Source organism: Homo sapiens, chromosome 14 (genome assembly GCF_000001405.40).
Source record: "Homo sapiens chromosome 14, GRCh38.p14 Primary Assembly".
NCBI classification, from domain to species: domain Eukaryota; kingdom Metazoa; phylum Chordata; class Mammalia; order Primates; family Hominidae; genus Homo; species Homo sapiens.
The window spans coordinates 23,381,601-23,409,501 of record NC_000014.9 but is presented as its reverse complement, the minus strand read 5'-3'; the positions used below and the strand labels follow the sequence as shown (position 1 = coordinate 23,409,501).

The window sequence follows — 27,901 nt, the reverse complement described above, 5'->3', positions numbered from 1 at the left end:
AAAATTCTGCCTGGGGAGGGGGCAGGTGGCAGAGCCCCACCCCGATGGAATGCAGTGCCTGGGGACCAGATGGTGTAAATCCCCAGGCCTGCCAGGCACCTGCACCCTCTGGCAGCCCGGTGAGGCAGAAGGGGACAGCCCCTCACCCACCCCCCTCCTCTCTCAGGCCCTAGGATTAGCACCATCTTCTTCTGCCCACCCCACCCCAGGAGCAGAGGGTAGCAGGGGAGGGCAAAAGCCTATGTGTGCAAATGCGGATGTGCAAATGTGTGCATCCATGTACACAAAAGAAAGTAGAAAAGAAATCTGCAAGCTTGAGTGGGTAAGTGTGAAAAATCTGCATGTGTGGCTGAAGATGGGCACAGACACGGTCAAGTCTGTATGTGAGAGTGCTGAACTGGGGTTCTGTGTGAAAATCTGCCTGAGGCGGCAGGGAGAATCACTGCCATTGCGTGAGCAGGTTGGATGTTGGCCACTCTATCAGGAGCATTAGGGAAGGGGTGGGGACTCCAGACGTGTCCCCAAACCAGGGTGGCCTCAAGACCTTGGGAGAACACTTGTCTGAAGACTTGGGGAACAGAAGGAGACCAGGCATGGCACTTATGCAGACTGAGGCCAGGACAGAATTTCCTGACAAAAGAAAACTGAGCCATGGAGATGGACAACAGATCCCTTCCCTGGGCACCATACTGCAGCTTTTAGTCCCTAGCACTGGGGGCTCCAGTACTAACAGCAGGAAGATGCTCCCAGCCTGGGACTGTGTGAGGGAGGTCAGAATGGGAAGGAGAGGCTGGGGAACAGGGGAGGAAAGCCCATGGTTGGGAGGCGGAGGACAGGCATTTGGCCTGCAGGAGAAGGTGACCCTCACCCATGTTTTCAGTTCACCCTTCGGGTTAAAAATAACTGAGGTAAGGGCCATGGCAGGGTGGGAGAGGCGGTGTGAGAAGGTCCTGTCTTCCCACTATCTGCTCATCAGCCCTTTGAAGGGGAGGAATGTGCCCAAGGACTAAAAAAAGGCCGTGGAGCCAGAGAGGCTGGGGCAGCAGACCTTTCTTGGGCAAATCAGGGGGCCCTGCTGTCCTCCTGTCACCTCCAGAGCCAAAGGATCAAAGGAGGAGGAGCCAGGAGGGGAGAGAGGTGGGAGGGAGGGTCCCTCCGGAAGGACTCCAAATTTAGACAGAGGGTGGGGGAAACGGGATATAAAGGAACTGGAGCTTTGAGGACAGATAGAGAGACTCCTGCGGCCCAGGTAAGAGGAGGTTTGGGGTGGGATGCCCTGCAGCCCGTCCACAGAGCCCCCACCGTGAGGGACCTCCTTCACCAGGAGTGGGGTGCAGGTCAGTTGGAGGCCTAAGGGCTCTATTAAAACTGCCTATCTCCAGGCCCAGGGAAGTTCCCCCTGACACAAGGAGGTTCCACAGGAAACCCAGAAACCTCTTTTCTCCTTCTCTGACTCTCCATTTCTTTCTCTGCATCATTCTGAGTCTCCTACATGTTGTCTCCATCTTTCCATCTTCCTTCCTCCTTTGGATGGCTTCCTTCCCTTGATCCTGGTTTTATCTTGCCTCTTGGTCTTCATCGACACTTGTCACAATCATGCTTCTTTGTCTCTCTCCCTTGTCCTTCCTTCTTGGCACGTGTTCTCACCTCCCTGCCTCTCTGCTTCTAACCCTGTTTCCACACCCCGTCCCTCGCACTCATATTGACTCGGTGCCCTTTCTTTTCTGCCTCTGCGTCTTTCCCTTTCTGACTCCCTGGTCTGTCCTGCCTGTCTGCGCTCTGGGGCTGCCTCCATCCCCGGGTGGCCTGCCTCTGTTGTTCTTCACTCTCCTCATCTGTTCTTCTCTCTGCCCGGCTCTACCTCTGTTGTTCCTTGCTCCACCCACGGTCCAGATTCTTCAGGATTCTCCGTGAAGGGATAACCAGGTGAGAACTGCCCCCATTTTCTCTGCAGAGACTGGGGCATGCTTCTCCTGGGAGCCGGATTGCTGGACCAGGGGTCTGCTGTCCCAAGCACTCAGCGCCAACCCTTAGCATACTCCAGCCAATGCCACCCCAGGGAAACCCCTTACAGAGATTGTCCTTCAGCATCACCTCAGAGGGCAGGAGAAGCAGAGCCCTGAGTAGGGGAGGGTGCAACAGCAGGTGCCTCTCCCAGGGTGGAGGAGAGGAGCGGGGGTAGGGAGGGGGGCTGCAGAGGACAAAGCCACTCGCTGGAGCCTGGGCTCCCTCAGGAGTAACATAGCCCTCCTGTCTCTGACCCAGGGGAAGCACCAAGATGACCGATGCCCAGATGGCTGACTTTGGGGCAGCGGCCCAGTACCTCCGCAAGTCAGAGAAGGAGCGTCTAGAGGCCCAGACCCGGCCCTTTGACATTCGCACTGAGTGCTTCGTGCCCGATGACAAGGAAGAGTTTGTCAAAGCCAAGATTTTGTCCCGGGAGGGAGGCAAGGTCATTGCTGAAACCGAGAATGGGAAGGTGAGTAGGGCATGGCGCCGGGGCAGAAGGGAAGGAGGTCTGGGAAAGAAGATGCAGAGGTGGAGCCACTTGCAGGGGGAGCTGAGAGGGCTGGAGAAAAGCCAAGGCCAGTGGGGATGCCAGGACATGCTCCTTTGAGGAGCCCAGAATCTGATCCCTCTCAAATTGACCTGAGCTGGTGCAACAGGTGCCACCCAGGGCCATGTTCCCCCTGCCAGAGAGGATGCTGAGGAAGAAGAACCTCAGTGTTCGCCTAAGAGGGGTCTTGTAGATAAAGAGGGCACAGACACAGCATTAAATGATGCCCCCTTCTTGCACTTGTATCCCTCTTCCCTGTGCCTCAGTTTCCTCCATGAGTCCACTTTCTCAAATTCCGTTCACCCAAATCAAGAGTAATTCTTAGACCCAGATGAACACAAAGATCAGAAACTTTTGAGCTGAGCACTCTCCTTGACTGGCACTCAGAAGCTCTGGTCCCTGGTTTGCTCACACCAGCCAAGAGAATCACCCCTGGTTACCAGCTGCGGCTCAGGGCTGTGTGCCTCATGAACTCGTTGACTGAATGTTACAACCCATTGAAGTGTAGAATAACAGGCCACAATCCCCTGGGGCTTTTGACTCTGATCCCAGCTCTGCCACCCGCTAGTCACTGTGCAGGCAAATCATTTAGTCATTTAGAGCCACGGATTTCTCCACTATAAAAAACACTGGAATACCTACTGGCAGGATCTAATGACATCAGGGCATGGCAAACTGACTGCTGCCAATCAAACCACACCAACAGTGATGGATGGGGAGTGTGGAGTAGATGGGTGAACTACTTTTCCAGCAGGGGTGAAGGTTTGCCCTGAGCAACAGATACCCTAAAGCGCTGCCCGCGGGAGACAGCCTCGGGGTCAGCATAAGGTGTGCACAGATCTGAGAGCTGCCAATCTCCAGGTCTGCCCCAAGACCCTTGGAACATAGGGACTGAAGAGTGATGGTCATGGGCACAGGGTGTCCCCAGGATGGTCTGGGGATCTGGCAAGAGAAAGGTACCCTAGGACAGTCTCTAGGATGGGAGATACAATGGGAAGGGAAATTACCTGGGGAAAGTGTCCCAGGGGACATCGGGGTAGGGGCCGGGGCACTGGTCAGAGCAAGGGGAGCAAGGCCAAGTCCCTGTGTCCTGGGAGGAGGTCAGTGGGCAGTGCTGGCAAGGGTCCCGGAGGGATTGTGGTCACTCATCCTCCTGCTTATGCGCCCCCTCCAGACGGTGACTGTGAAGGAGGACCAGGTGTTGCAGCAGAACCCACCCAAGTTCGACAAGATTGAGGACATGGCCATGCTGACCTTCCTGCACGAGCCCGCGGTGCTTTTCAACCTCAAGGAGCGCTACGCGGCCTGGATGATATATGTGAGTGGCTCCTGCACACTGCAGAGGCTTCCTGTGCTGCGTGGAGGCCTAAATAAGCCAGGGGGGCTCTCCCAAGAAGAGGGGGAGAGACTCCCAAGGGACCCAAGTCCCCTTCCCCCCTCCACCCCTAGTCAGCTGCAGGAGGAGTAGAGCCAGCTGGAGTGAACAGGGACATGCCTGGCTGCCACCACTGCCTGTCCCAGGCTCTCCCCACCAACCTCATGCCCAGCCTTGTCTCCTGCTCCAGACCTACTCGGGCCTCTTCTGTGTCACTGTCAACCCCTACAAGTGGCTGCCGGTGTACAATGCCGAGGTGGTGGCCGCCTACCGGGGCAAGAAGAGGAGTGAGGCCCCGCCCCACATCTTCTCCATCTCCGACAACGCCTATCAGTACATGCTGACAGGTGAGCCTGGTGGCCCCTGGTCTCTGCTCCTCCTCCCAGACACCCACCCAGATCCTCAGCCCTGACCCCATTGCTTCTCCTCTTTTTTCTTCCAGATCGGGAGAACCAGTCCATCCTCATCACGTGAGCGAGTGCCATCCTCCCACAGAAGGGACTGGGCTGGGGGCATACACGCTGATGCCTAGGGTGTAGTTGGGAGGAGAGGTTTAAGGCTGGGATTGCAGGGAGCATGGGGCACTGAGCTCTCATTAGAGGGGTGCCAGAGCAATGAACCATGTCAGGCAAATCCTGCTGGGTGCTGGGCTCTGATGGCCAGGCTGGGAAGGGGAGCATGTGATGCTGAGCCCTGTATGGAGAACAGTAGGAATCCTGAGTTTTGATTGGTCTCTGTGGCCCCCAGGGGAGAATCCGGGGCGGGGAAGACTGTGAACACCAAGCGTGTCATCCAGTACTTTGCCAGCATTGCAGCCATAGGTGACCGTGGCAAGAAGGACAATGCCAATGCGAACAAGGTGCCATGGGGGACACAGGCTCGGCAGAACAGGGGTTGGGGGGCAGGCTGACCCGAGTTACCCCTAACCCTCCCCTCCCTGTGACGTGGTGGGGACAGCCACACTGAGCTGGGCTCCCGATGGTCAGCCCAGTATGGAAGACCTTCCTGACAGGAGACACTCACCCTGAGGTCTGGGTAGGATCCTGTGGAGTCGCAGACCCACTAGCGGTTCACCCAGCCCCGCACCCCCATTCCTCAGGGCCAGGGCAGCCTCCCTGCCCTCTCACCACTGCCTGGAGGTGGATGGAGGATGAACCCATGCAGTTCTGCTCCTTTCATAGGGCACCCTGGAGGACCAGATCATCCAGGCCAACCCCGCTCTGGAGGCCTTCGGCAATGCCAAGACTGTCCGGAACGACAACTCCTCCCGCTTTGTGAGTGCCTTTGACCACTCCCAGTGGCCTCATCCAGCCTTGACAAGAAAAAGGGGGTGCTGTTTTGCCACACCCAGTTGATTGTACTGTATCTGGCTTTGGGATATCAACATGCACACGTTGGTGGGAAGAGAGCATAGGCTTTGGAGCCAAAGGTCTGACTTTCCACTTGCTCAGCAAGTCCTTACACCTCTCTGAGCCCTAGTTCCTTCACCTGTGAAACAGGGGGACTAATATCCACCCTGCAGATTACTGGGAGGATTAGGTGAGATCATATGAGAGGTATGAGCAGGAGGCATTCTGTATGTGTTCCCCTCTGGGCCGAGGTTCCACTAGGAGGTCCCTGCACAGTGTGTGAGGGTGGCATCCTCTGCCCGGCTTCACTTATACTCAACTGAGACACCAAAGAGGTCGTTTACATTTCCAGAACCATCCAGGGCTTCTGGGCTGAACAGAGGGCCAGGATTTCACTCTGTCCTTCCCGCCAGTTCCCTCACTCTGTCCCATTCGTCCCCAGGGGAAATTCATTAGGATCCACTTTGGGGCCACTGGAAAGCTGGCTTCTGCAGACATAGAGACCTGTGAGTACCAGCAGGGAGGCTGCCACCCTCTAGGTCCCCCTCTGCCTTCTCTCCCTGCCTGGCGGCCAGTCTCATCATTCCTGCCATCTCCTGTTTTGTCTGCATTTGCCTCTGGGCTTTAGGATCCTTTTTATTTAAGCCACATCTTCTCGCCTGGCCCTCTTCATCAAGCTGTGGGTGCCCCCTGCCCTCTGCCCCCATGGCCACCTTTTTCTGGCTCTACTCTCTTTCCTTCCTCACCTGCCTTCCTCCCCTCCACCCACCTCAGACCTGCTGGAGAAGTCCCGGGTGATCTTCCAGCTGAAAGCTGAGAGAAACTACCACATCTTCTACCAGATTCTGTCCAACAAGAAGCCGGAGTTGCTGGGTGAACCTGCCTGCCACCCCCCACCCACTGCTGTCCCTGCTGCACACCCCAACGACTCCTGCATGCAGGGCAGGGCCCTCCTGCTCCCCACTGTGCCCCACCTTGCTGCTCACTTCCCTTCTCCCTCCACTCACTCCGCCAGCTCCCTCTCGCTTCCCTCCCAAGACCACCTGCGTCTCCTCTCGCCTCCCTGTGCAGTCACACACCTCACTCCTTCTCCACCCTTCTCTCCACTCCTCCCTCGGCTTGTCTTTGCCTTCTCCTCTTTATTTGCCTCCCCATCTCCCATGTGTCACTCCCCTGCCACCCTCCCTCCTCCTTGTTACTGGAGCCCCTGCCAGGGCCCCTCTTCTACCCTTTCACTTCCTCTGGGTTCACTCCTTGGTCCTTGCTGACTTCTCTTCTCTCCCTGCTCCCTGTCCTCCCTTCCTCCATTCACCCCGTCCCTTACCCCTCCCTGCCCCTCCCTCCCTTTCCCAACTCTACCTGCCCCTTCCCTGCCCTCCGCCTGCCCCCTTGCCCCTGCCTCACCCCTTGCCTGGTGCAGACATGCTGCTGGTCACCAACAATCCCTACGACTACGCCTTCGTGTCTCAGGGAGAGGTGTCCGTGGCCTCCATTGATGACTCCGAGGAGCTCATGGCCACCGATGTGAGTGAGGGGGCTGCTGCGGCCGTTCGAGGGACCCCAGGAGCTCCTGGGGCCACCGCTCCAACCCCCCTCTTTGTCTCTCGCTCTGTCCCAGAGTGCCTTTGACGTGCTGGGCTTCACTTCAGAGGAGAAAGCTGGCGTCTACAAGCTGACGGGAGCCATCATGCACTACGGGAACATGAAGTTCAAGCAGAAGCAGCGGGAGGAGCAGGCGGAGCCAGACGGCACCGAAGGTGGGAGGGGCAGGCAGGCAGCCCTGGGAAGGCCTGAGGTGCTGACCAGGCTCTCTGCGGGACTCAGATCCCAGAGACTCTGAGGCTTGTGGGGCAGTGGGGTGTGTTGTGGGATGGTGAGGGACAGGGACGTGGGAGACGTGGGCAGACAGAGAGTCCACCACAATCCCAACTCCTCAACCCCAGCTGCACTCACCAGAACTGAGGTGGGGAATTTTCCTCCTGTGCCCAAGACTCCCCCAGCCCCAGGAAGCACAGCCCCTGAGCTCTGCACATCACCATCACTAATGCAGGGCCTTTGCCTGCCCAGCCCTTGGGTAAGCCCCTCGTGGGCTCATACCATGTTGTTTGGGAGGCAGTGGGCCAGGGGTCAGGACATAGCCCAGGGCATTGGTGTGTCAGTTTCCTCCTCAGTGAAATGGATCAACAATCTTTCCTCACTCCTCTGGTGGCTACTGTGAGGTCCTTTGAGAAAATGTGAAGGTGCAAACAGTGCTAGACAGGTGCCCAAGAACATTCCTCCCTACCTTCAGGGACCCTTCTCCAAGTCTGCCCAGATCAAAGTGTCAAGCTGGGGTTCATGATAACACACCAACAGTTATTACAACATTCTTGAAATTACACCAAATAACTCCTCCTCTAAACAGAGAAATACCCATGTTGGGTGGCACATTTGGATGGCTGGGGGTAGGAGCGTGGTACTGTCTGATATACTCTCAGCCAGTCAGATTGGGTAACATGTGGATGGAGAAGACAGCATGGCCAGTCCAGGGCTAGACACTGGGGTAGAGAACGAAGGAGACAGGGAGCAGAGGACATCTAGCCCCTCAGCCACACCCTTGCCCTGGAGAGGCGAGGGATATGGTGAAGGTGGGGATATGCCCACAGCAGTGCTTGTGAAAGACCTGACCCAGAGATGCCACAGATGTAGAGACAGAGCTGAGAAGAGCCAGTTGTGGCAAGAGGCCATGGGCCGGATAAGGGGGCTGTGCTCCAGCCTGACTCAGGCACACGTTGGTTGAGTAACCAAGGCAAGCCCTGTGCTCTTCCAGGCCTTGATTTCTTCCTCTTTAAGGAAAAGAAATTGGACCTGATGCTTCCTAAAGTCTTGGCCCCAGGACAGGGAAGGAGGCTCACTCCCTGAAAGTGTTCACTCAGGCCAGGTGCAGTGGCTCATGCCTGTAATCCCAGCACTTTGGGAGGCCAAGGCAGGTGGATCACTTGAGGTAAGGAGTTTGAGACCAGCCTGGGCAACATGGTGAAACCCTGTCTCTACTACAGATACAAAAATTAGCCTGGCATGGTGGCTCATGTCTGTAGTCCCAGCTACTTGGGAGGCTGAGGCAGGAAAATCACTTGAACCCAGGAGGTGGAGGCTGTAGTGAGCCAAGATCGTGCCACTGCACTCAAGCCTGGGTGACAGAGCAAGCCTCTATCTTAAAAAAAAAAAAAGGAAGTGCTCACTTATCCTTTCCCTCTCAACCAGATGCTGACAAGTCGGCCTACCTCATGGGGCTGAACTCAGCTGACCTGCTCAAGGGGCTGTGCCACCCTCGGGTGAAAGTGGGCAACGAGTATGTCACCAAGGGGCAGAGCGTGCAGCAGGTGTACTACTCCATCGGGGCTCTGGCCAAGGCAGTGTATGAGAAGATGTTCAACTGGATGGTGACGCGCATCAACGCCACCCTGGAGACCAAGCAGCCACGCCAGTACTTCATAGGAGTCCTGGACATCGCTGGCTTCGAGATCTTCGACGTGAGTTGGGACCCCTGGGAGTGGGAGAACAATCACTCGCTTGCTCCTACATTCAACAGCCATTTGCTGAGAGCCAGCTGTGGACCAGACATGGGAAGGCAGTGGGGACTGTGTGGTGACAGAGGCAGTCATTGTCCCTGTCTTCAGGGGAAGCCCTCCTCCACTGCCCTGACATGGAGGGGACAGCCATACCCTGCTGGGCTCGGCACAGTGCACGGGCACAGCCCCAATGGCCACTCACACCCACTTTCTGACTGCTCCCACCCCTCATGCCCCCTGCAGTTCAACAGCTTTGAGCAGCTCTGCATCAACTTCACCAACGAGAAGCTGCAGCAGTTCTTCAACCACCACATGTTCGTGCTGGAGCAGGAGGAGTACAAGAAGGAGGGCATTGAGTGGACATTCATTGACTTTGGCATGGACCTGCAGGCCTGCATTGACCTCATCGAGAAGGTGCCTCCTTGGCCTCACCACCTATGCCCCCTCCTCTGCCATCCAGACAAAGTGGTGGCTGAGTCCCTTCTACACCCAAGAAACTAGAGTCCCAAGAATCCCAGGCCTTTCTCCAGGCCCAGCTTCTCCCCACTGTGAAGTCATGGGCATGAACAGGATGATCCCCCCACTCTTCCTTTCCCAGGACCTTGCACTTTATGCCCCTTTGTGGTGGTCCCCTCAGTGTCTTAAGAGTGAGATGTAGTGAAGGAGAGGCCCCTGGCCCCTCTGACCGCCCATGAGAAGCGTCATTCATGGAAAGATCCTAGGCTGAAATTAGAGATGTTTGGCCTCCCACCACCTTCCTGTTGGTTGAGAAATAAGCCAGTCTCCAGCCCTCTTGCTTATGGGCATTCCTCAGAAGAGACAAGGCCGCAGGCGGGAGGCCCCATAGGCTGGGGCTGACTTGCTCTCAGTGAACCTCTGCTCTTTGTCAGCATAGGCCAGAGCCCGGATTGTCTGACCCACACCCAGCCCAGCCACGGCCTTCATGAAATGGGAGCTTCCCCACATGCTTTGGGTCATTATCCAGATTCTTAACCAGAGTTCTCATGTTTCAGAGCCCTCAGAATGCCATAAAACTGTGTGTGGAAAAAAGCATGTGTACATTCATACATACATGTGTGTGCTTGTGCATGTGTGTGTGTGTACGTGTGTGTGTGTACATGCGTTTTTCTGGAGAGACAGTCTTTAGCTTCAACAAATTCTTAAAAGGATTCCTGCCCCAAGAAAAATCAAGAACCACCAGGTTTTTGGAAGTGCAGAGTGTGGTAAAGAACCTGGATCCTTCTATCTAACCCTTGAAGAATTGCTACTGGTGTCATACAGACAGAGCCTGGCCCGGTGCCTCTGACACACATCTGTCCCTGCCCTCCTGCCCCTGGGGCAGTGAGCCATCAGAGAGAAGGGGCTGTGCTGTGAGGCACTGTGGGCCTTGTGGGGGGTGATTAGGAGTGCATGACTCTTTGTTGGACCCACTGGGCAGAAAGGAGGAGGAAGGGGCTTTTTAAATTCCAGGAATATTGGCTTCCTGTTTTAGGGTAAGAGGTACCAGCACAGCGCCCCTTCAGCAGGCCAGCGCTACTGGCTCCAGATTCCTTTTCCTGTCAGGGTATGGGACTGTGGAAGCCTGGGAGTGTGCTCAGTGATTCTCTCTTTGCCTCTTCACCCTGCCCTCAGCCCATGGGCATCATGTCCATCCTGGAGGAGGAGTGCATGTTCCCCAAGGCCACTGACATGACCTTCAAGGCCAAGCTGTACGACAACCACCTGGGCAAGTCCAACAATTTCCAGAAGCCACGCAACATCAAGGGGAAGCAGGAAGCCCACTTCTCCCTGATCCACTACGCCGGCACTGTGGACTACAACATCCTGGGCTGGCTGGAAAAAAACAAGGATCCTCTCAACGAGACTGTTGTGGCCCTGTACCAGAAGTCCTCCCTCAAGCTCATGGCCACTCTCTTCTCCTCCTACGCAACTGCCGATACTGGTAAGCAGGCAGCCCCTGCACTGGGCCAGGGGACTTCTGAAGACACAAAGGGCCAGGGTCCTGCTGCTTCAAAGCACATGACTCCATAGGCAGGCACAGGGGAGCCCATGAGTCAAGCCACCTCCTGGCTCACCTCACCACAGTCCAGCTGGGCTTCTGTAGCACCTGCCGTTCTCCACTTTGTGTTATGAGTGTTGATATAGCTGTCTCATGTTTCCTCAAGATGGGGAGTAACTGGAGGTCAGTGAGGGTGGCACATGCATCCCTGTACCATGCCCAGCAGGGAACGATGCATGTGGGAGTTCTCAACAAATGTTGAGAGGACACTGAACAAAAGAGCCTCCAGTTCAGAAAAGGAAGAGAAAGGATGTGGCTTGAAATGAAGAGGATAAAGTGTAAGAAGAAAAGTAGAGGTTGGGCACGGTGGCTCACGCCTGTAATCCCAGCACTTTGGGAGGCCGAGGCGGGTGGATCACAAGGTCAGGAGTTCGAGACCAGTCTGGTCAACATGGTGAAACCCCGTCTCTACTAAAAATACAAAAATTAGCCTGGCGTGGTGGCACCTGCCTGTAGTCCCAGCCACTTGGGAGGCTGAGGCAGGAAAGTTGCTTGAATCCGGGCGACGGAGGTTGCAGTGAGCCAAGATTGCACCACTGCACTCCAGCATGGGTGACAGAGTGAGATTCCATCTCAAAAATAGAAGGAAGAAGAAGAAGAAGAAGAAGAAGAAGAAGAAGAAGAAGAAGAAGAAGAAGAAGAAGAAGAAGAAGAAGAAGAAGAAGAAGAAGAAGAAGAGGAGGAGGAGGAGGAGGAGGAGAACTAGAATGTGGAAAGATATAAGAAGGAAGGGCAAGTAGAGGGAGAGCTAAGGGCACTGATGTATGTCAGTGCCTACTATGGGCAAGCACCAGTGAGCTGCCCTACAGGCGTGGTCTTATCTAATCCTCTTTACAACTTTGGGAAGTTGTTACTGTCATCCTCATGGTAAACTGAATCTTGGAGAATTCCTTGCCCAAAGTCTCAGAGCTACCAAGCGAGCAGCAGAGCTCTGCCTCTGCCCAAGGGCTCCTTTATTTTCCAGCTCCTGTTGATTATTTCTCCTCTCGCTGTTTAGGGGACAGTGGTAAAAGCAAAGGAGGCAAGAAAAAGGGCTCATCCTTCCAGACGGTGTCGGCTCTCCACCGGGTAAGAAGGGCCCAGGGGTGCCAGGACACCTGGTGGAATGGCCCAGCCCAGAGACTTCTGGCTGCACCACCTATTCTGATGCTTGAGTTTGATGAGGAAAGAAGCTAGGGCTACGTAGTCGTTTTTTAGTGTGTAGATTCCACAAAAGCCTGAACTCACGTCACAAATTATGTGGCAGCCCCTGTCCCTTTGATGATTCTGGTGGAGAGTGTCTGGGGACCAGGGTTTAAGGGCCTAAGGGATGGTCCTTGTGGCTCCTAACTCCCCACCTTCATCTGCCTCCAGGAAAATCTCAACAAGCTAATGACCAACCTGAGGACCACCCATCCTCACTTTGTGCGTTGCATCATCCCCAATGAGCGGAAGGCTCCAGGTGAGCCAGGAGAAGACCTTAGTCTGGGGAGGACAGCTGGCATCCACTTTACCCTAAGGCTGACCCTTTCCCCTTCCCTCCTGACACAGGGGTGATGGACAACCCCCTGGTCATGCACCAGCTGCGCTGCAATGGCGTGCTGGAGGGCATCCGCATCTGCAGGAAGGGCTTCCCCAACCGCATCCTCTACGGGGACTTCCGGCAGAGGTGGGTATGAGGGTGCCCCAGAGCTCATAGAACAGGGGGAGCCAGGCTGCCCTGATGGGAATGGGATCTGCAGGTGACCCTGGAATTCTGTGGGCAGAGCAGATCACTGCAGAGCATGGGTGACTCTGGACACTTCCCTCCTCAGGTATCGCATCCTGAACCCAGTGGCCATCCCTGAGGGACAGTTCATTGATAGCAGGAAGGGGACAGAGAAGCTGCTCAGCTCTCTGGACATTGATCACAACCAGTACAAGTTTGGCCACACCAAGGTGAGTCTAGAGCCCCACTGGGTGGTTGCAGGGCAGGTGGCCATGTTGAGTGGAGCAGAGAGGAGTTTAGGAGGCAGAAGCCTAATTCTGGCTTCCTTATCAACCTTATCAAGGGCTGAAACCCAGGCTTCATTCCGGTCTTGTTTGTCAAATTTTTACTCTTACTTCTAGAAGGCATGGGGTGATGGGTCACCTGGGAGCTCATCCAGGGTCTTCCACCCTGGATACTCCCCTCTGAGGCTGCGGCCTGTTGCATCTACCCCTTGCCTGCAGGTGTTCTTCAAGGCAGGGCTGCTTGGGCTGCTGGAGGAGATGCGGGATGAGAGGCTGAGCCGCATCATCACGCGCATGCAGGCCCAAGCCCGGGGCCAGCTCATGCGCATTGAGTTCAAGAAGATAGTGGAACGCAGGTGAGACAGGAGGAAAAGGGAGGCATGCACTAGAGATGTAGAGGCAGATCCGCAATGTCAACTAGTGTGGGTCAGAAGACCTGGGTTCAGACCTACCAGCTGGCCTGGGCAAGTTACTTTACCACTTCGAATCTCATTGCAAATTCTTCTTCTTCTTCTTCTTCTTCTTTTTTTTTTTTTAAAGAAACTTCTCTATAGGAAAATGCAAATTAAGACACCAATGAAATACCATTTTAAAACACTAGACTTTGCTTGCTCAGATGGTCTACAAATTTTAAAAAATGAAAGAAACAAGTAGATAAAAATAAAATGAAAGGAAAAATAATTTTTAAAAGTTTTAAAAATCACTAGACTGACAAAAATTAAGAAGCCTGACCCACTGCTTACAGATGTGTAAATTAGTGCAACTTCCTAGGAAAACAGTTTATCACTATCTTTTAAAGTTGAACAGCTGCAGGCCAGGCGCGGTGGCTCATGCCTGAAATCCCAGCACTTTGGGAGGCCGAGGCGGGTGGATCACGAGGTCAGGAGATCAAAACCATCCTGGCTAACATGGTGAAACCCCATCTCTACTAAAAAAATACAAAAAATTAGCCGGGTGTGGTGGCAGATGCCTGTAGTCCCAGCTACTCTGGAGGCTGAGGCAGGAGAATGGCATGAGCCCGGGAGGCAGAGCTTGCAGTGAGCCAAGATCGAGCCACTGCACTCTAGCCTGGGCGACAGAGCGAGACTCCATCTCAAAAAAAAAAAAGTTGAACAGCTGCATACTTCTCCATTCCACTCCTGAGTACATTCCTACAGAGAAACTCTTATACATGTACACCATGACATGAAAAATAATCTTTTAGCAGCATTGGTCATAATAGCAAAGATCTTAAAACAACTTGAATTTCCATCCACAGGGGAATGGGTAAATAGTATTACAGTCATTCAGTGGAATATTATAAAACAGTGAAAAGATGTGAACTCCAACTACATGATACAATATGTTTGAACATTAAAGCATATTGTTAGTAAACAAAGGCAAATCTTGGAAGGATACATACAGTATGATGCAATTTTTATAAAGCTCATAAATAATCAAAACCAGCCATTCATTGTTTAAAGATACATACATATGGCTGGGCACAGTGGCTTATGCCTGTAACCCCAGCACTTTGGGAGGCTAAGGCAGGCGGATCACCTGAGGTCAGGAGATGGAGACCAGCCTGGCCAACATGGTGAAACCCCGTCTCTACTAAAACTACAAAAATTAGCTGGGCATGGTGGCAGGCACCTGTAATTCCAGCTACTCAGGAGCTGAGGCAGGAGAATCGCTTGAATCCGGGTGGCAGAGGTTGCAGTGAGCCGAGATTGTGCCATTGCACTCCAGCCTGGGCAACAAGAGTGAAACTCCATCTCAAAATAAATAAAGTAAAATAAAAATAAAGATACATTCATATGTGGTTAAAGTAATTTTTGAAAAAGCAAGGAAAGGAAAAATAAGATTCAGAGTGGCGGCTGCTCCTGGCGGGGTGACAGGGGTGTAGGAAGGAACGCACAGGTAGATCAATGGCTGGTAACATTTCAGCTCCTGTTTCAGTGGTAGGTTCATGGATAGTCATTTTGCTTTCATGCTGCATAACTTACATACTTATTATAGACATTCTTATATGTAAACCCCTACATAATTTTTAACATATTTGAAGTTCTTATGAGAATAGAAAAACCAAACAGAGTAGACATTCTATAAGTGGTAGTTTCCATTACCACTAATATCCCAGCTGGGAGGATATAAACTGCCCTTTCATCAAATTGATTAATAAATATTTATCAAGCAACTCCATGTTCAGTGTAGTGATGTTGGAGGTGGGTGTGCACAAGAAGGAAGTCTACGTGCCTACGAACTTGCTTAGTAGGGCCCATGATTGGGAAGCTCTCTTTTATAGTGCCCCACCCTGCCTCCACGTTTCCTTGCCAGGGATGCCCTGCTGGTAATCCAGTGGAACATTCGGGCCTTCATGGGGGTCAAGAATTGGCCCTGGATGAAGCTCTACTTCAAGATCAAGCCGCTGCTGAAGAGCGCAGAGACGGAGAAGGAGATGGCCACCATGAAGGAAGAGTTCGGGCGCATCAAAGAGACGCTGGAGAAGTCCGAGGCTCGCCGCAAGGAGCTGGAGGAGAAGATGGTGTCCCTGCTGCAGGAGAAGAATGACCTGCAGCTCCAAGTGCAGGCGGTGAGGCCACGTGATTATCTCTTCAGCCCTCTCCTCCCCTCCCCTAGATTATAGCCCATCTCACAACCAGGGACTGGGAGTCTAGGAGTGCCAGCTCTTTTTAAGACCCTAGGTCTCCTCTCTTTAACCATCAGCTTCCTCCCTGTTCTCTTCTCCCAGGAACAAGACAACCTCAATGATGCTGAGGAGCGCTGCGACCAGCTGATCAAAAACAAGATTCAGCTGGAGGCCAAAGTAAAGGAGATGAATGAGAGGCTGGAGGATGAGGAGGAGATGAACGCGGAGCTCACTGCCAAGAAGCGCAAGCTGGAAGACGAGTGCTCAGAGCTCAAGAAGGACATTGATGACCTGGAGCTGACACTGGCCAAGGTGGAGAAGGAGAAGCATGCAACAGAGAACAAGGTGAGGGCAGCTCCCTCTGGCTTCAGCCCAGGTCTCCTCAAGACTCCCAGACTAGAGTGTTGTCCTGGTCCTTGGCATGGAGGTCCCCATAGATGTCTCCAGGCTGGTGATCTTTGACCCTAAAGGGGATGGGTTTTTGGTCGGCAGGTGAAGAACCTAACAGAGGAGATGGCTGGGCTGGATGAAATCATCGCTAAGCTGACCAAGGAGAAGAAAGCTCTACAAGAGGCCCATCAGCAGGCCCTGGATGACCTTCAGGTTGAGGAAGACAAGGTCAACAGCCTGTCCAAGTCTAAGGTCAAGCTGGAGCAGCAGGTGGATGATGTGAGTAGTAAGAACCATGCTCCTGCTCTCAGAGCAAGATTTTGCAGGCAACACCAATGGCCCAGAAAGTCCTGATCCCTAGAATTAACTTCTATGGCCCCTGAAGCTTTTTTGCTCTCTGTAGTTCCTCACTACAGTAGGTCTCTGAATCCTTTGTGCTTGCAGGATTTCTCTGTTGGTTTGACTTCCAATCCCACTGGACTTCAAGTTTAGAAGGAGGCAAAAGAGCATACACTATGGATTTCATGTTTTCCACACTTTGCTTATTTTCTTCCCTCCAACAGCTGGAGGGATCCCTAGAGCAAGAGAAGAAGGTGCGCATGGACCTGGAGCGAGCAAAGCGGAAACTGGAGGGCGACCTGAAGCTGACCCAGGAGAGCATCATGGACCTGGAAAATGATAAACTGCAGCTGGAAGAAAAGCTTAAGAAGTAGGAGACTGTGGTGGCCAGGAGGGGCTAATGGAGGTGTCTGGCCTGGTAGATAGAGTGCAGGGTGCTGCGCCTCCACTGGCCACAGTTGCCTTGGGTATGCTGGGAATAAGGTCAATCACAGCCCTCTTCCGCCACTTTCTGGGCTGGCGAGGGGAGGGGGAGGTGCCGATTCTGGCATACTAAGGCCAAGAAGAGAATGAGCCCCAGAGGAAGGAAGGCTACCTGTCACTCCCCCACCCCCACCCTTCTCCTGCAGGAAGGAGTTTGACATTAATCAGCAGAACAGTAAGATTGAGGATGAGCAGGTGCTGGCCCTTCAACTACAGAAGAAACTGAAGGAAAACCAGGTGACTTTTTTTCCCAGTGCATGAAAGTGGGAGCTCAATAGCCCTGAGGTAACTGAGGCTGCAGCAGCTGCTTAGGGTTCTACACAATATCTGGAACTCCAGGCAGCCTCATAGACCCAACCATCCCTGACTTACAGGCGCTCAGGAACACTAGCCTTCCCCCATAGAGCAAGAATACATTACGTTAGCAAAACTGTTTGAGAAGGGGGACTCATACCTACTAAAGGGCTTCTCCTTCTGAGATCTGCTCTGCCTCAGGGACTTTCTACTCTAAGACAAATGATAGAGCTCTATTCTCCTCTAACCCTTCCTCTGGTAGTTCAGCCCTCTGAACGCAGGGTGAAAAAAAAAAAAGGCTTCAAGGAGCACCTTCCTGTGAGCTGCTCTGTTCATATTCTTCCCGGTACTAACCCCAGCCACTAACCCAGGCTGAGTCCCCATAGGGCACTCATGATAAGAGCCAATTCCAACAACTGTGAGCAAGTCACTTACCCTCCCTGATCCTCAGATTCTCTTCTCACCTGTAAAATGAGACTGACAATACCTACCACACAGGACCAGAGGGGATAATGTATTTGAAACCATTTTGTCAACTAGGAAATTCTATACAAGTATCATATTAATATAGCCCAATTTAGAGAAGTCAGCCAGCCACTAGCCTAAGAAGGTATTGTTTTGTCTTCTCAATGGCCTTCTCATTCCTCTGCAGCTCAAGATTTAGTGAACAGCCATAGTCTCCCTTAGCTTTAATGAACCTCAAACCCTAATGTGCTTTTAGTATCGGGTTTGTCAGAAGAGACCTGGAAGTCCACTGCCATCCCCATTATAGAGCTACAGAAGCTACATGGCCAGGTCTGGACATAGTGACCCCAAGGGCAACAGGAACTCGGCTACTGGGGCGGGACCTTGTCCTCTCACTTTGGGGCAGACTGTGGCTGGTAGAAAGAGGTAGTCTCCCCTCTGCACTTGAGGCCCATGGCCCAGGCTGCAAGTAATGTATGAACACAATTCCACTCCTCTGGGGCTGCACAGGGACTGGCCCGCCTTCATTAGTAATTTGCCCTCCCATCTTCTTGGATGCCCCTTCTGGGTTTTAGCTAGAATATCGGGCCATCCTCAGGTTCTTCTACCCTAGGTCTGGGCAACTTGTTTGGCCTCTTGGACACAGAATAACAGTCCTGTTAGTCTCATCAGCTCTCGGCAATAGGCTATGGCTCCTCCTTCATCCCCAAGATCTTGCTCAGAAGTCCCACCTTCTCCATCCTGGGAGCAGAGGCATGGTGGTCCTCTCTGCTGCTTGTAGGACCCATCCATGAACAGTCCATTAAAGCTGTCCATAACCCGAGGTGAAGGGATTTCCACTGAACCCCCGTTTTGCTCCTGGCTAGCCAGACAACAGATCAAAATGGTAGATACGATATTCTCCCAATTTAGTCAAGACCAAGGCTAAGGCCCAAAAAATGAGGTAAGGGCACTTAAAGAGGATAAGGAGATGAGGTGAAGAGGAGAGTAGCCTGCTAGCACTTTCCTGGCCTGGAAGGGAGCAATCATGTTGAAACCCAGCCCTGGGCATAAACACAGCAAGCCTGGGAGAGCAAGGAATATGGTTGATTGGACTTTGTGGTTAACTTGGAGAATTGCAAAGGTATCTGATTGTTTCGAGGCATGTTGTCACAAATATTTGTAAAATACAAGCACTCATTTTCCCGTCTTATGAATAGCGCAACAGAGCCTAGTGAATCTGGGGACTCTGAACTTCTTGATCTCACAGGATACCAGGATCCCCCTTCAACCACAGGTTCTCAGGATTTGGGGCTGCAGATGCTCACACTGGGTCTGAGATGCCCTTGGGAGCTTCAGCCAAATTCCTATTGATGGCCTATGCATTATAGGATGTTTAGTAGCATCCCTGGCCCCTACCCTCTAGATGCCAGTAGCAAGCCCCACCAAGACATGACAATCAGACATTGCCAACTGTTCCCTGGGGCACAAAATTGCCCCTAGTTGAGAACCACTGCTTGAGAGGAACCTAAGTTCCTGGTAGCTTTTCAGAGCCGGGGGGATTCCAGTGGAGGGGTCCAGGCGGTGGGTCTGAGCCCTTTGTGTCTGACCCAGGCACGCATCGAGGAGCTGGAGGAGGAGCTGGAGGCCGAGCGCACCGCCAGGGCTAAGGTGGAGAAGCTGCGCTCAGACCTGTCTCGGGAGCTGGAGGAGATCAGCGAGCGGCTGGAAGAGGCCGGCGGGGCCACGTCCGTGCAGATCGAGATGAACAAGAAGCGCGAGGCCGAGTTCCAGAAGATGCGGCGGGACCTGGAGGAGGCCACGCTGCAGCACGAGGCCACTGCCGCGGCCCTGCGCAAGAAGCACGCCGACAGCGTGGCCGAGCTGGGCGAGCAGATCGACAACCTGCAGCGGGTGAAGCAGAAGCTGGAGAAGGAGAAGAGCGAGTTCAAGCTGGAGCTGGATGACGTCACCTCCAACATGGAGCAGATCATCAAGGCCAAGGCAGGCTCTGCTCGGCCTCCCCTCGCCCTCTCCCCTGCACAGCGGAGCCTCCCCCATGCCTTCTCTCTCTGTCTGCCATCTCCCTTGTCATTCTCATTCTCTTCATCACCCTTTGGTCTCTCTTCCTGTCTCCCCTGCCCCTCTCTGGCTCTCCTCACCCTCTCTATCTCTTCATGTTCCTCCTTTCTTTAATTCAAGTCTCTCTTCAGACTGCGCCCTCCCACACCTTCTGTGTCCCCCTCCTGCCCTCTGGCATTCCCCATCTCTGACCCTCTCTTCCTTCCTCTGGTCGACTCAGCCCCTCCCACACTCACCCTTCCTGTCTTGCTTCCTGAAGGCAAACCTGGAGAAAGTGTCTCGGACGCTGGAGGACCAGGCCAATGAGTACCGCGTGAAGCTAGAAGAGGCCCAACGCTCCCTCAATGATTTCACCACCCAGCGAGCCAAGCTGCAGACCGAGAATGGTGGGTGCCCCTAACCAACCCCCTGCCTAGGGCAGGACATGACTTGTGAAATGGCCCACAAGCCCCTCATTTCACCTCCAGGAGAGTTGGCCCGGCAGCTAGAGGAAAAGGAGGCGCTAATCTCGCAGCTGACCCGGGGGAAGCTCTCTTATACCCAGCAAATGGAGGACCTCAAAAGGCAGCTGGAGGAGGAGGGCAAGGTGAGGCCCAGTGGGGAGGGTGGGCAGGCTTGATGGCAGCCCTGGGGCAATTCATCTCAGTGCCAGAAATGGAGCCTGGAGCTGGAAAGAGTCCTCTGCAAGGGAAAGACCCTCCAGTCTAGGTTCTGCCCTGCAGCTAAGCGTCATTTAATGCCTCTTTTCTTATTCGTAAGGGGATGGGGTGAGCAGACTGGGAAACTCCTCAAACAGTGAGGTGCCACATCAGCCCACATGGTGAATAAGGCTGGGCTTGGTTGAAGTACTACATAAGAAGAGAATCTAGAGAATGGGGCACAGGGAGTCCCTCCCACCTCCTGGTGCCCCCCCCCCTCCCCAGGCGAAGAACGCCCTGGCCCATGCACTGCAGTCGGCCCGGCATGACTGCGACCTGCTGCGGGAGCAGTACGAGGAGGAGACAGAGGCCAAGGCCGAGCTGCAGCGCGTCCTGTCCAAGGCCAACTCGGAGGTGGCCCAGTGGAGGACCAAGTATGAGACGGACGCCATTCAGCGGACTGAGGAGCTCGAAGAGGCCAAGTGAGCTCCAGATACCCCCTTAACCTGACTCTCAGAGAGGAAGGGGCGAGAGGACCTGGGGTGGGGACAGGCAAAGTGGTCATGAGACGGAAGTGGAAGAGACAGGAGGAACTCGGAGGGCAACAGAAGTGCTTGGAAGAAAGCCTGAACTCTTTGCTCTGTGAACTCTGGCTGGCCCTGACCCACTTCCTGTGACGGGCGAGCTTTTGGCCCGGGTTATACCTGATGCTCACGTATAAGACGAGCAAAAAGCTTGTTGGTCAGAGGAGCTACCGTCGATCAGCCTGTGTGGGGGGTGAGGGCAGGGGGCACTGACACCCAGATGCCACTGCAGGTAGGGAGGACGCCTGGGCAGCCCGTGCTGGCGGACTCTGTTCCAGGCATGAGCAGGCTCAGCTCCTGCTAGGCTGGACTTACGGTGTCTCAAGGAGATATAGGGAGGGGGTGGAAGGAGGTCCACCCAAGGCTCCAGTGTTGCCCAGTAGAGTCACACACACACCCTCCACCCTCACCTGGGCAGAAAGAAGCTGGCCCAGCGGCTGCAGGATGCCGAGGAGGCCGTGGAGGCTGTTAATGCCAAGTGCTCCTCACTGGAGAAGACCAAGCACCGGCTACAGAATGAGATAGAGGACTTGATGGTGGACGTAGAGCGCTCCAATGCTGCTGCTGCAGCCCTGGACAAGAAGCAGAGAAACTTTGACAAGGTGGACCATGGGCGGGGGCCGCAGCCAGCATGCAGGGCAAGGGGGCATGAGGGGTTCAGTGAGAGGCCAAAGGCAACCTCCTTGGAGGTGGAGGAGGAGGGCTAAGCCCAGGCTCGGGACCAGGGACAGATCTTGGACATGCGGCTGAGGCTGGGGGCTGGGGCACTGGGAAGCAGGAGGGCTGGGGAGCTAAGGCTGGGGGGCTGAAGAGTGAGCCTTGTCCCCGGGCAGATCCTGGCCGAGTGGAAGCAGAAGTATGAGGAGTCGCAGTCTGAGCTGGAGTCCTCACAGAAGGAGGCTCGCTCCCTCAGCACAGAGCTCTTCAAGCTCAAGAACGCCTACGAGGAGTCCCTGGAGCACCTAGAGACCTTCAAGCGGGAGAACAAGAACCTTCAGGGTGTGCTGGGGGTCCAAGAGGCCAGAGATGAGTTGGTGGGAGGGAGGGCCATGCAGGGGCAGGGGGAACATAGGCTTTGAGCTTTCTGGCCCTCTGGTCCCCAGAGGAAATCTCGGACCTTACTGAGCAGCTAGGAGAAGGAGGAAAGAATGTGCATGAGCTGGAGAAGGTCCGCAAACAGCTGGAGGTGGAGAAGCTGGAGCTGCAGTCAGCCCTGGAGGAGGCAGAGGTGAGGGCCGAGAACTCCCTGCACCCCATCCCTGTTCTGCCGCTGTCTCCCACTTCTCCCTCACCTGGGGGTGACCCTGACCCCAGGACAAAATCTATTCATTCCATATTCTTTGTTCAACATTATCTACCCACTATTCACTACCCATGACTGCCTCCAAAGCCAAGGTCTGCACAAAGGAAAATGTCAGTCTGATTAGAGGCCAAAGGTTTTGTTTCCCACCAGGTTTTAAAAGTTGGAATCTGGCCATAATAATAACCACTTAGACAGTGGGTAGGAGTGTGGGGTTCCAGAGTCAAACAGGCCTGAGTTGGAACACAGCTTGAGGACTTTCACTGCAGCGTTGGGCAAAATCTTTAATCTCTCTCTGCCTCAGTTTTCTCATCTGTAAAATGGAATTAACTGTACATACCTCATATGATTTTACACATGATTATTATAAAGATTAAATGAGGTAACACATTTAAGCACTTAATATATATTAGCTATTGTTACTCTTCATTTCTAAGCACCTGGGAATAGCCCTGAGTTTTCTGGGCTTCTAACTTTTCTCAGGAAAGGGTGAGGGACCTGGAAAACAAGATAAAATTTTGTATTTGTGGTTATAAAAATTCCTCCATTTTCTATAATACTTTAGACAGGTCAGGAATTTATGCAGTGTTAGTGCTGGAGGGTCTGGCAATTGTGAGGTCCAAACCCTTTTCTTGACAGGGGAAGCCCAGAGAGTCCAGCACTTTCTCCCCAATAGCACCGTGGTGGGCATGGGGTGCAGATCCCACCTCCCCATCTCTTCTCAGCTCTTCTTCTCTGGGCGATAGTCCTGGCTGACACCGTGTATCTTCTCATCCTCCCTCTCAACCCTGCCCTGTGCCCTGTCTGCCCGCCCTCGCCCCACCCCTTCCCAGGCCTCCCTGGAGCACGAGGAGGGCAAGATCCTCCGGGCCCAGCTAGAGTTCAACCAGATCAAGGCAGAGATCGAGCGGAAGCTGGCAGAGAAGGACGAGGAGATGGAACAGGCCAAGCGCAACCACCAGCGGGTGGTGGACTCGCTGCAGACCTCCCTGGATGCAGAGACACGCAGCCGCAACGAGGTCCTGAGGGTGAAGAAGAAGATGGAAGGAGACCTCAATGAGATGGAGATCCAGCTCAGCCACGCCAACCGCATGGCTGCCGAGGCCCAGAAGCAAGTCAAGAGCCTCCAGAGCTTGCTGAAGGTACATGGGGGCGGGAGGTCCCCTCAGGGGACTGGCCTCCATGTGGCCTGGAGAAGCAGTGGTGTCTGGATACAGGCACCAGATTCCTCCTGCCCCTGGGTTACTGCAGGGACCTCTGACAGGTGCCCTCAGTGAAGGGCACCGAGGCTGGCTTCTGCTCACACCCACTCTCCTGATGCTCAGGACACCCAGATCCAGCTGGACGATGCGGTCCGTGCCAACGACGACCTGAAGGAGAACATCGCCATCGTGGAGCGGCGCAACAACCTGCTGCAGGCTGAGCTGGAGGAGCTGCGTGCCGTGGTGGAGCAGACAGAGCGGTCCCGGAAGCTGGCGGAGCAGGAGCTGATTGAGACCAGCGAGCGGGTGCAGCTGCTGCATTCCCAGGTGAGGGGGTCAGGAGCCACCTTGTGGAAACCTACTGAGTGCAGAGCCCAGGACATCTAGAAAAGCCAGATGTTCTAAGTGAGCACATCTAGCCAGGGTCACAAATCATTTCCTCTCTTAGGCCAACTCTCATCTGTGGTGGCTGCAGAACCATTATATTAAGAAAGCGGTCTCTACTTAGAAGCTAAGAGGGTCATGATTGATTGCTGATACCTGCCAAAGCCACAAATCTGGGAGTAGTGGAATGTATCCTGTTATTTGATATTCTTGATCTGAAAGACAGCCTCCGGCTTGCTCTGTAAAGATGAGAGTTTGGGAGTTTAAAGAAGCATAACTGCATCTCTTGCAAACCAAGCTGGCTAGAACACCATTTTCTGCAATCCCACCCACACTGTTTTCAGTTATACTCTGCAATGAGACTTTGTGCTCACCTTTTGCAGTGCCCTGTGGAGTTTTGTTCTTTAATCTAGTATGTGTGAGAATGACATCATCCACTTACCTCATCCCCTCTTCCTTACCCCACTACATTCTTGGTATAGCTATAAACATCTCTGGAATATTGTCCTGGTAAAAAGTTGTTTCCATCTTCCTTGGAATATTGTCATGCTCCTACGTAAACATGTTGCTAAAGAGCTCCAGGGTAATACTGCAGACCTTTTGCTATTTGAAGTCTTTTTTCAGAGTTTAGTAATCTTAGATACAATGTCTAGAATGTATGCACTTTCATAGGAAAAGGGAAAGCAGGTACAAAACGATCAATAGTCTAAAAGTGGGCTTGTTGTTTTAAAAAAAAAATGACCACCTTTAATTCTTTCTGGAGAAAGGGTATGAAATCAGGTAACAAAGTGTAGTATATATTTGATCATTTTTCTCTCTCCATGTCTAGAACACCAGCCTCATCAACCAGAAGAAGAAGATGGAGTCGGATCTGACCCAGCTCCAGTCGGAAGTGGAGGAGGCAGTGCAGGAGTGCAGAAACGCCGAGGAGAAGGCCAAGAAGGCCATCACGGATGTAAGTGACCGCCCACCTTCCGCCTCCCCTAAAGACAGAAACAAGGCCTTGGGTCCAGGCCAGGCCACTGTGCTGTAACACCAAGCCAACTCTGCAGTTCTGTGGATTTGAGGGCCTGATGGGAGAAAGGAGATCCTTGGGGGGCAAAAGGCCCCGGCCCCTGGCCCATGTTCCTTGCCACCTCTCTCCTGCACACAGGCCGCCATGATGGCAGAGGAGCTGAAGAAGGAGCAGGACACCAGCGCCCACCTGGAGCGCATGAAGAAGAACATGGAGCAGACCATTAAGGACCTGCAGCACCGGCTGGACGAGGCCGAGCAGATCGCCCTCAAGGGAGGCAAGAAGCAGCTGCAGAAGCTGGAAGCGCGGGTGCGGGAGCTGGAGGGTGAGCTGGAGGCCGAGCAGAAGCGCAACGCAGAGTCGGTGAAGGGCATGAGGAAGAGCGAGCGGCGCATCAAGGAGCTCACCTACCAGGTGCGGCGGACGCCAGACACCAGGAGTAGATGTGGAAGTTTCTTCTCTGGCCCCACTGCCCCGCCCTCACAGGGCTCCTCTCACCTCCTCCTTGAGATGCTGTTGGTAGATTTAACGTTCTTCTCACGCTCTGCAGTCAGTTTGACTTGAGTCTATGAGTTTTTCCAGCAAATGAAGAATCTACTTCTACTTCCTGAAAACTCTTCTAACTAGTCTTTCCCCAGGTTTCTTTCTTTCTTTTTTTTTTTTTTTAATAACTCTAAGTGCTACCATGAAGACTTCAGAACAGTTCAAAGAATCCTTCCACCTTCGACTGTGGGGATAAGAGTCAGGGGAGGGGAAAAGACCCGGAAATCTTCCATAGAACTTCTGGCACACAAAGAGAAGGCCACAGAGAAAGAGGACCCTAGAATGCTCTAAAACCTCCACTTGCATAGCTGAGAGCTGTGCCCTTGGCCCGTTATTTTCAGTGTACCTGGGAAGAAAAGGCCAAGGAGACGAGGGTGTCAGTCCATTTGATAGATGGATACCAGAGGCACAAGAAAGAGGTTACAGATACAGAACCACAGAGTGATTTGTGGACAGAAGTAGAAATGGCATCCTGGCACATACAATGATAAAGAGATAGGAATGATCGAGTGACGTTGGAGCCAGTGATCCCGATGCCTGAATTCTGGCCCAGTACAATATATTAGAATGTAGAATAATCTGGATTATGATAATACCCCCTTCTTTCTGCATTCTTTTTCTGGTCAAGAACTACTGGCCAAGAGAACCTATGTAAGTCCAGGTTGGAGCTTTATCCACCATACTGGAGCTGGAACAGACCTGGTGCTTTTATATTACCACATTAGGGAATTCCATTAGGTTCTGAGCCCCTCCCCCTACTTCTAGCTTTATGACTTCAGCCTTCATTGCTCTGTGGATCCCTGACTGACAACCTTGCATTGCCCCTTTGACCTACGATAGAGTCAGAGAATCTTCCCCACCACCTCTTTGACCTGGATCATTGCAGGGAGGGGCAGCAAAGGCAAGGGGAGAAGAGTAAAATGATGGAGGAGGGAAAGGTGATTGCATTTGCTCCCCCTCCAAACCAGCTTCTCCCACCCTCCCACCCCCAGACAGAGGAAGACAAAAAGAACCTGCTGCGGCTACAGGACCTGGTGGACAAGCTGCAACTGAAGGTCAAGGCCTACAAGCGCCAGGCCGAGGAGGCGGTGAGTTCAGAGCTTTCTTCCCTTTCTCATCAACACACCTACTATTTGTGAGAACCAATGAATATCTCCTACAGAGGGGCCTGGACAAAGAGTTTGCTATAAACTTTAACTCTCAAACATTTGTTTGACACATCTGGTATGCTCAGAGCTGTCAGGTGTTCTGAATTAACAAAGGCACCACCTACAAGCTGCTTACAATTCAGATACCATAACCCAACAGAAGGCAGTGTAGATGCTAGTGCAGGACGTGGGGCAGCCGAAGCTGAAGGCAGGAAGGTGGCGGTGGAATTGGGCCTAGAAGGGGACCCAGCTAGCCACAGGGCAGTGGGGAAGACATCTGGGTGGATGTGAGTTGCTGATTAGCATGCCTGCACAGGAAGCTGGGGTCCGGGACAGGTGCAGCAAAACAGGATTCTGAAGGGGCCCAGATCGGGCAGCATGGGATTTGTCTGGGGCAGTGGATGGCCGTGAAGGACTCTGAGTGCTGGACATGTTTGAGAAGAGTGCAAGGCAGTTGCAGGATACCCTTGGGAAGGCTGTTGCAGGAATATGCATGAGGTATGGGTGCCTCAGGGACAGGGAGCTGGAACCTCAGGTTGAGAGGCTGAGAATCCCATAGCCCATCTCCAGCTCATTCACCCATCCCCACTGTCCCACCACAGGAGGAGCAAGCCAACACCAACCTGTCCAAGTTCCGCAAGGTGCAGCATGAGCTGGATGAGGCAGAGGAGCGGGCGGACATCGCTGAGTCCCAGGTCAACAAGCTTCGAGCCAAGAGCCGTGACATTGGTGCCAAGGTGGGTCCCTCCCCTGGGCTTCACTAGTCACTTCCACATTAGCATGCCCCCTGATATGGGTGCCCTTCAGAGTGGGCACTGCTTGCCCTATATGTAGGCAGTTCTGAGGGTCCCATAGCTTACATAACCTGAGAATCCACTCTCCTGCTCAAAACAGCCCCCCACTGACTGGAACTTCTGCAGAGATCCCCAGTTCCATCCCCCTAAACCACAAGTGCCTCTAACGTGGGACCACAGGATCCCTGGGGCCCTGCCTCTCCCTCCAAGGGCATCTCCCTTAGGCCTCTGAAAGCCCCAGGGATTTGTCCCCACACACTTCTCCCTCTTGCCAGCTGCCCCCTCACACCTCTTATTCTTTTTGCAGCAAAAAATGCACGATGAGGAGTGACACTGCCTCGGGAACCTCACTCTTGCCAACCTGTAATAAATATGAGTGCCAAACTCTGCCTGAGCCCATCTGTCCTTCCTGCCAGCTGTCCATCCTGGATCAGGGCAGTAGGGGGCCTGAGAGGAGGGAGGCCCCCAGCCCCTGTATCAGAGCTGCCAGAGCCAAGGCATCCCATATCCACAAGGAAGGAGACCGAGGTGCAGAGGAGTGAGGTGTTCTGCCTGACGTGGACAGCTGTGAGTCCCAGTTCTGCTCAGTCAACCACACAAGGGTGGAGAGGGAGAAATTTCAAAAGTGAAGAAAACAATGGCATCAAAATGGTGAGCCAGTCCAAGATGCTACGAGATAGAATTTTGGTGCCGAAGTTGAAGCCACTCTCCACCTACCCCACCCCTGAGGCTGCAATGATTAAAGGTGTCCTAGGACACCCATTCTTTCT

The 27,901-nt window shown here is 53.5% G+C and overlaps 1 protein-coding gene and 1 non-coding gene across 2 annotated transcripts, besides 7 other annotated features; both read left to right on the top strand.

Annotated features, from left to right (window-relative positions):
• Positions 59–4,934: an enhancer, noted in NCBI's record as "VISTA enhancer hs2155". NCBI's record gives its function as "enhancer in: heart[6/7]" and the evidence as "EXISTENCE:transgenic organism evidence [ECO:0001131][PMID:17130149]".
• MYH6 (myosin heavy chain 6) lies at positions 1,229–27,515 on the top strand. The gene is made up of 39 exons (NM_002471.4): positions 1,229–1,249; positions 1,894–1,926; positions 2,266–2,479; positions 3,732–3,875; positions 4,123–4,279; positions 4,375–4,402; positions 4,680–4,791; positions 5,114–5,206; positions 5,724–5,787; positions 6,056–6,154; positions 6,702–6,805; positions 6,900–7,038; positions 8,525–8,793; positions 9,076–9,246; positions 10,465–10,774; positions 11,889–11,959; positions 12,245–12,332; positions 12,422–12,539; positions 12,685–12,808; positions 13,082–13,218; positions 15,179–15,434; positions 15,594–15,836; positions 15,984–16,160; positions 16,445–16,590; positions 16,850–16,940; positions 19,056–19,445; positions 19,783–19,909; positions 19,991–20,109; positions 20,447–20,643; positions 21,164–21,347; positions 21,579–21,744; positions 21,849–21,973; positions 22,879–23,187; positions 23,371–23,574; positions 24,461–24,586; positions 24,785–25,060; positions 26,182–26,277; positions 26,940–27,074; positions 27,439–27,515. Exons 3-39 carry the CDS (start codon positions 2,279–2,281, stop codon positions 27,460–27,462), a joined length of 5,820 nt encoding a protein of 1,939 aa, NP_002462.2. The 5' UTR covers positions 1,229–1,249; positions 1,894–1,926; positions 2,266–2,278; the 3' UTR covers positions 27,463–27,515.
• Positions 1,876–2,376: an enhancer, noted in NCBI's record as "H3K4me1 hESC enhancer chr14:23876335-23876835 (GRCh37/hg19 assembly coordinates)". NCBI's record gives its function as "activates a minimal SCP1, AML or CMV promoter by ChIP-STARR-seq in naive H9 embryonic stem cells {active_cell/tissue: H9 hESC(naive)}" and the evidence as "EXISTENCE:reporter gene assay evidence [ECO:0000049][PMID:30033119]".
• Positions 6,494–7,035: an enhancer, noted in NCBI's record as "H3K4me1 hESC enhancer chr14:23871676-23872217 (GRCh37/hg19 assembly coordinates)". NCBI's record gives its function as "activates a minimal SCP1, AML or CMV promoter by ChIP-STARR-seq in primed H9 embryonic stem cells {active_cell/tissue: H9 hESC(primed)}" and the evidence as "EXISTENCE:reporter gene assay evidence [ECO:0000049][PMID:30033119]".
• Positions 7,036–7,578: an enhancer, noted in NCBI's record as "H3K4me1 hESC enhancer chr14:23871133-23871675 (GRCh37/hg19 assembly coordinates)". NCBI's record gives its function as "activates a minimal SCP1, AML or CMV promoter by ChIP-STARR-seq in primed H9 embryonic stem cells {active_cell/tissue: H9 hESC(primed)}" and the evidence as "EXISTENCE:reporter gene assay evidence [ECO:0000049][PMID:30033119]".
• Positions 19,351–19,954: an enhancer, noted in NCBI's record as "H3K4me1 hESC enhancer chr14:23858757-23859360 (GRCh37/hg19 assembly coordinates)". NCBI's record gives its function as "activates a minimal SCP1, AML or CMV promoter by ChIP-STARR-seq in primed H9 embryonic stem cells {active_cell/tissue: H9 hESC(primed)}" and the evidence as "EXISTENCE:reporter gene assay evidence [ECO:0000049][PMID:30033119]".
• Positions 19,955–20,558: an enhancer, noted in NCBI's record as "H3K4me1 hESC enhancer chr14:23858153-23858756 (GRCh37/hg19 assembly coordinates)". NCBI's record gives its function as "activates a minimal SCP1, AML or CMV promoter by ChIP-STARR-seq in naive H9 embryonic stem cells {active_cell/tissue: H9 hESC(naive)}" and the evidence as "EXISTENCE:reporter gene assay evidence [ECO:0000049][PMID:30033119]".
• MIR208A (microRNA 208a) lies at positions 20,836–20,906 on the top strand. The gene has a single exon (NR_029595.1). It is a non-coding gene; the product is annotated as a microRNA 208a (primary transcript).
• Positions 22,608–23,807: an enhancer, noted in NCBI's record as "BRD4-independent group 4 enhancer chr14:23854904-23856103 (GRCh37/hg19 assembly coordinates)". NCBI's record gives its function as "activates an origin of replication core promoter dependent on BRD2, P300/CBP, MED14 and CDK7 cofactors, and independent of BRD4, by STARR-seq in HCT116 cells {active_cell/tissue: HCT116}" and the evidence as "EXISTENCE:reporter gene assay evidence [ECO:0000049][PMID:35650434]".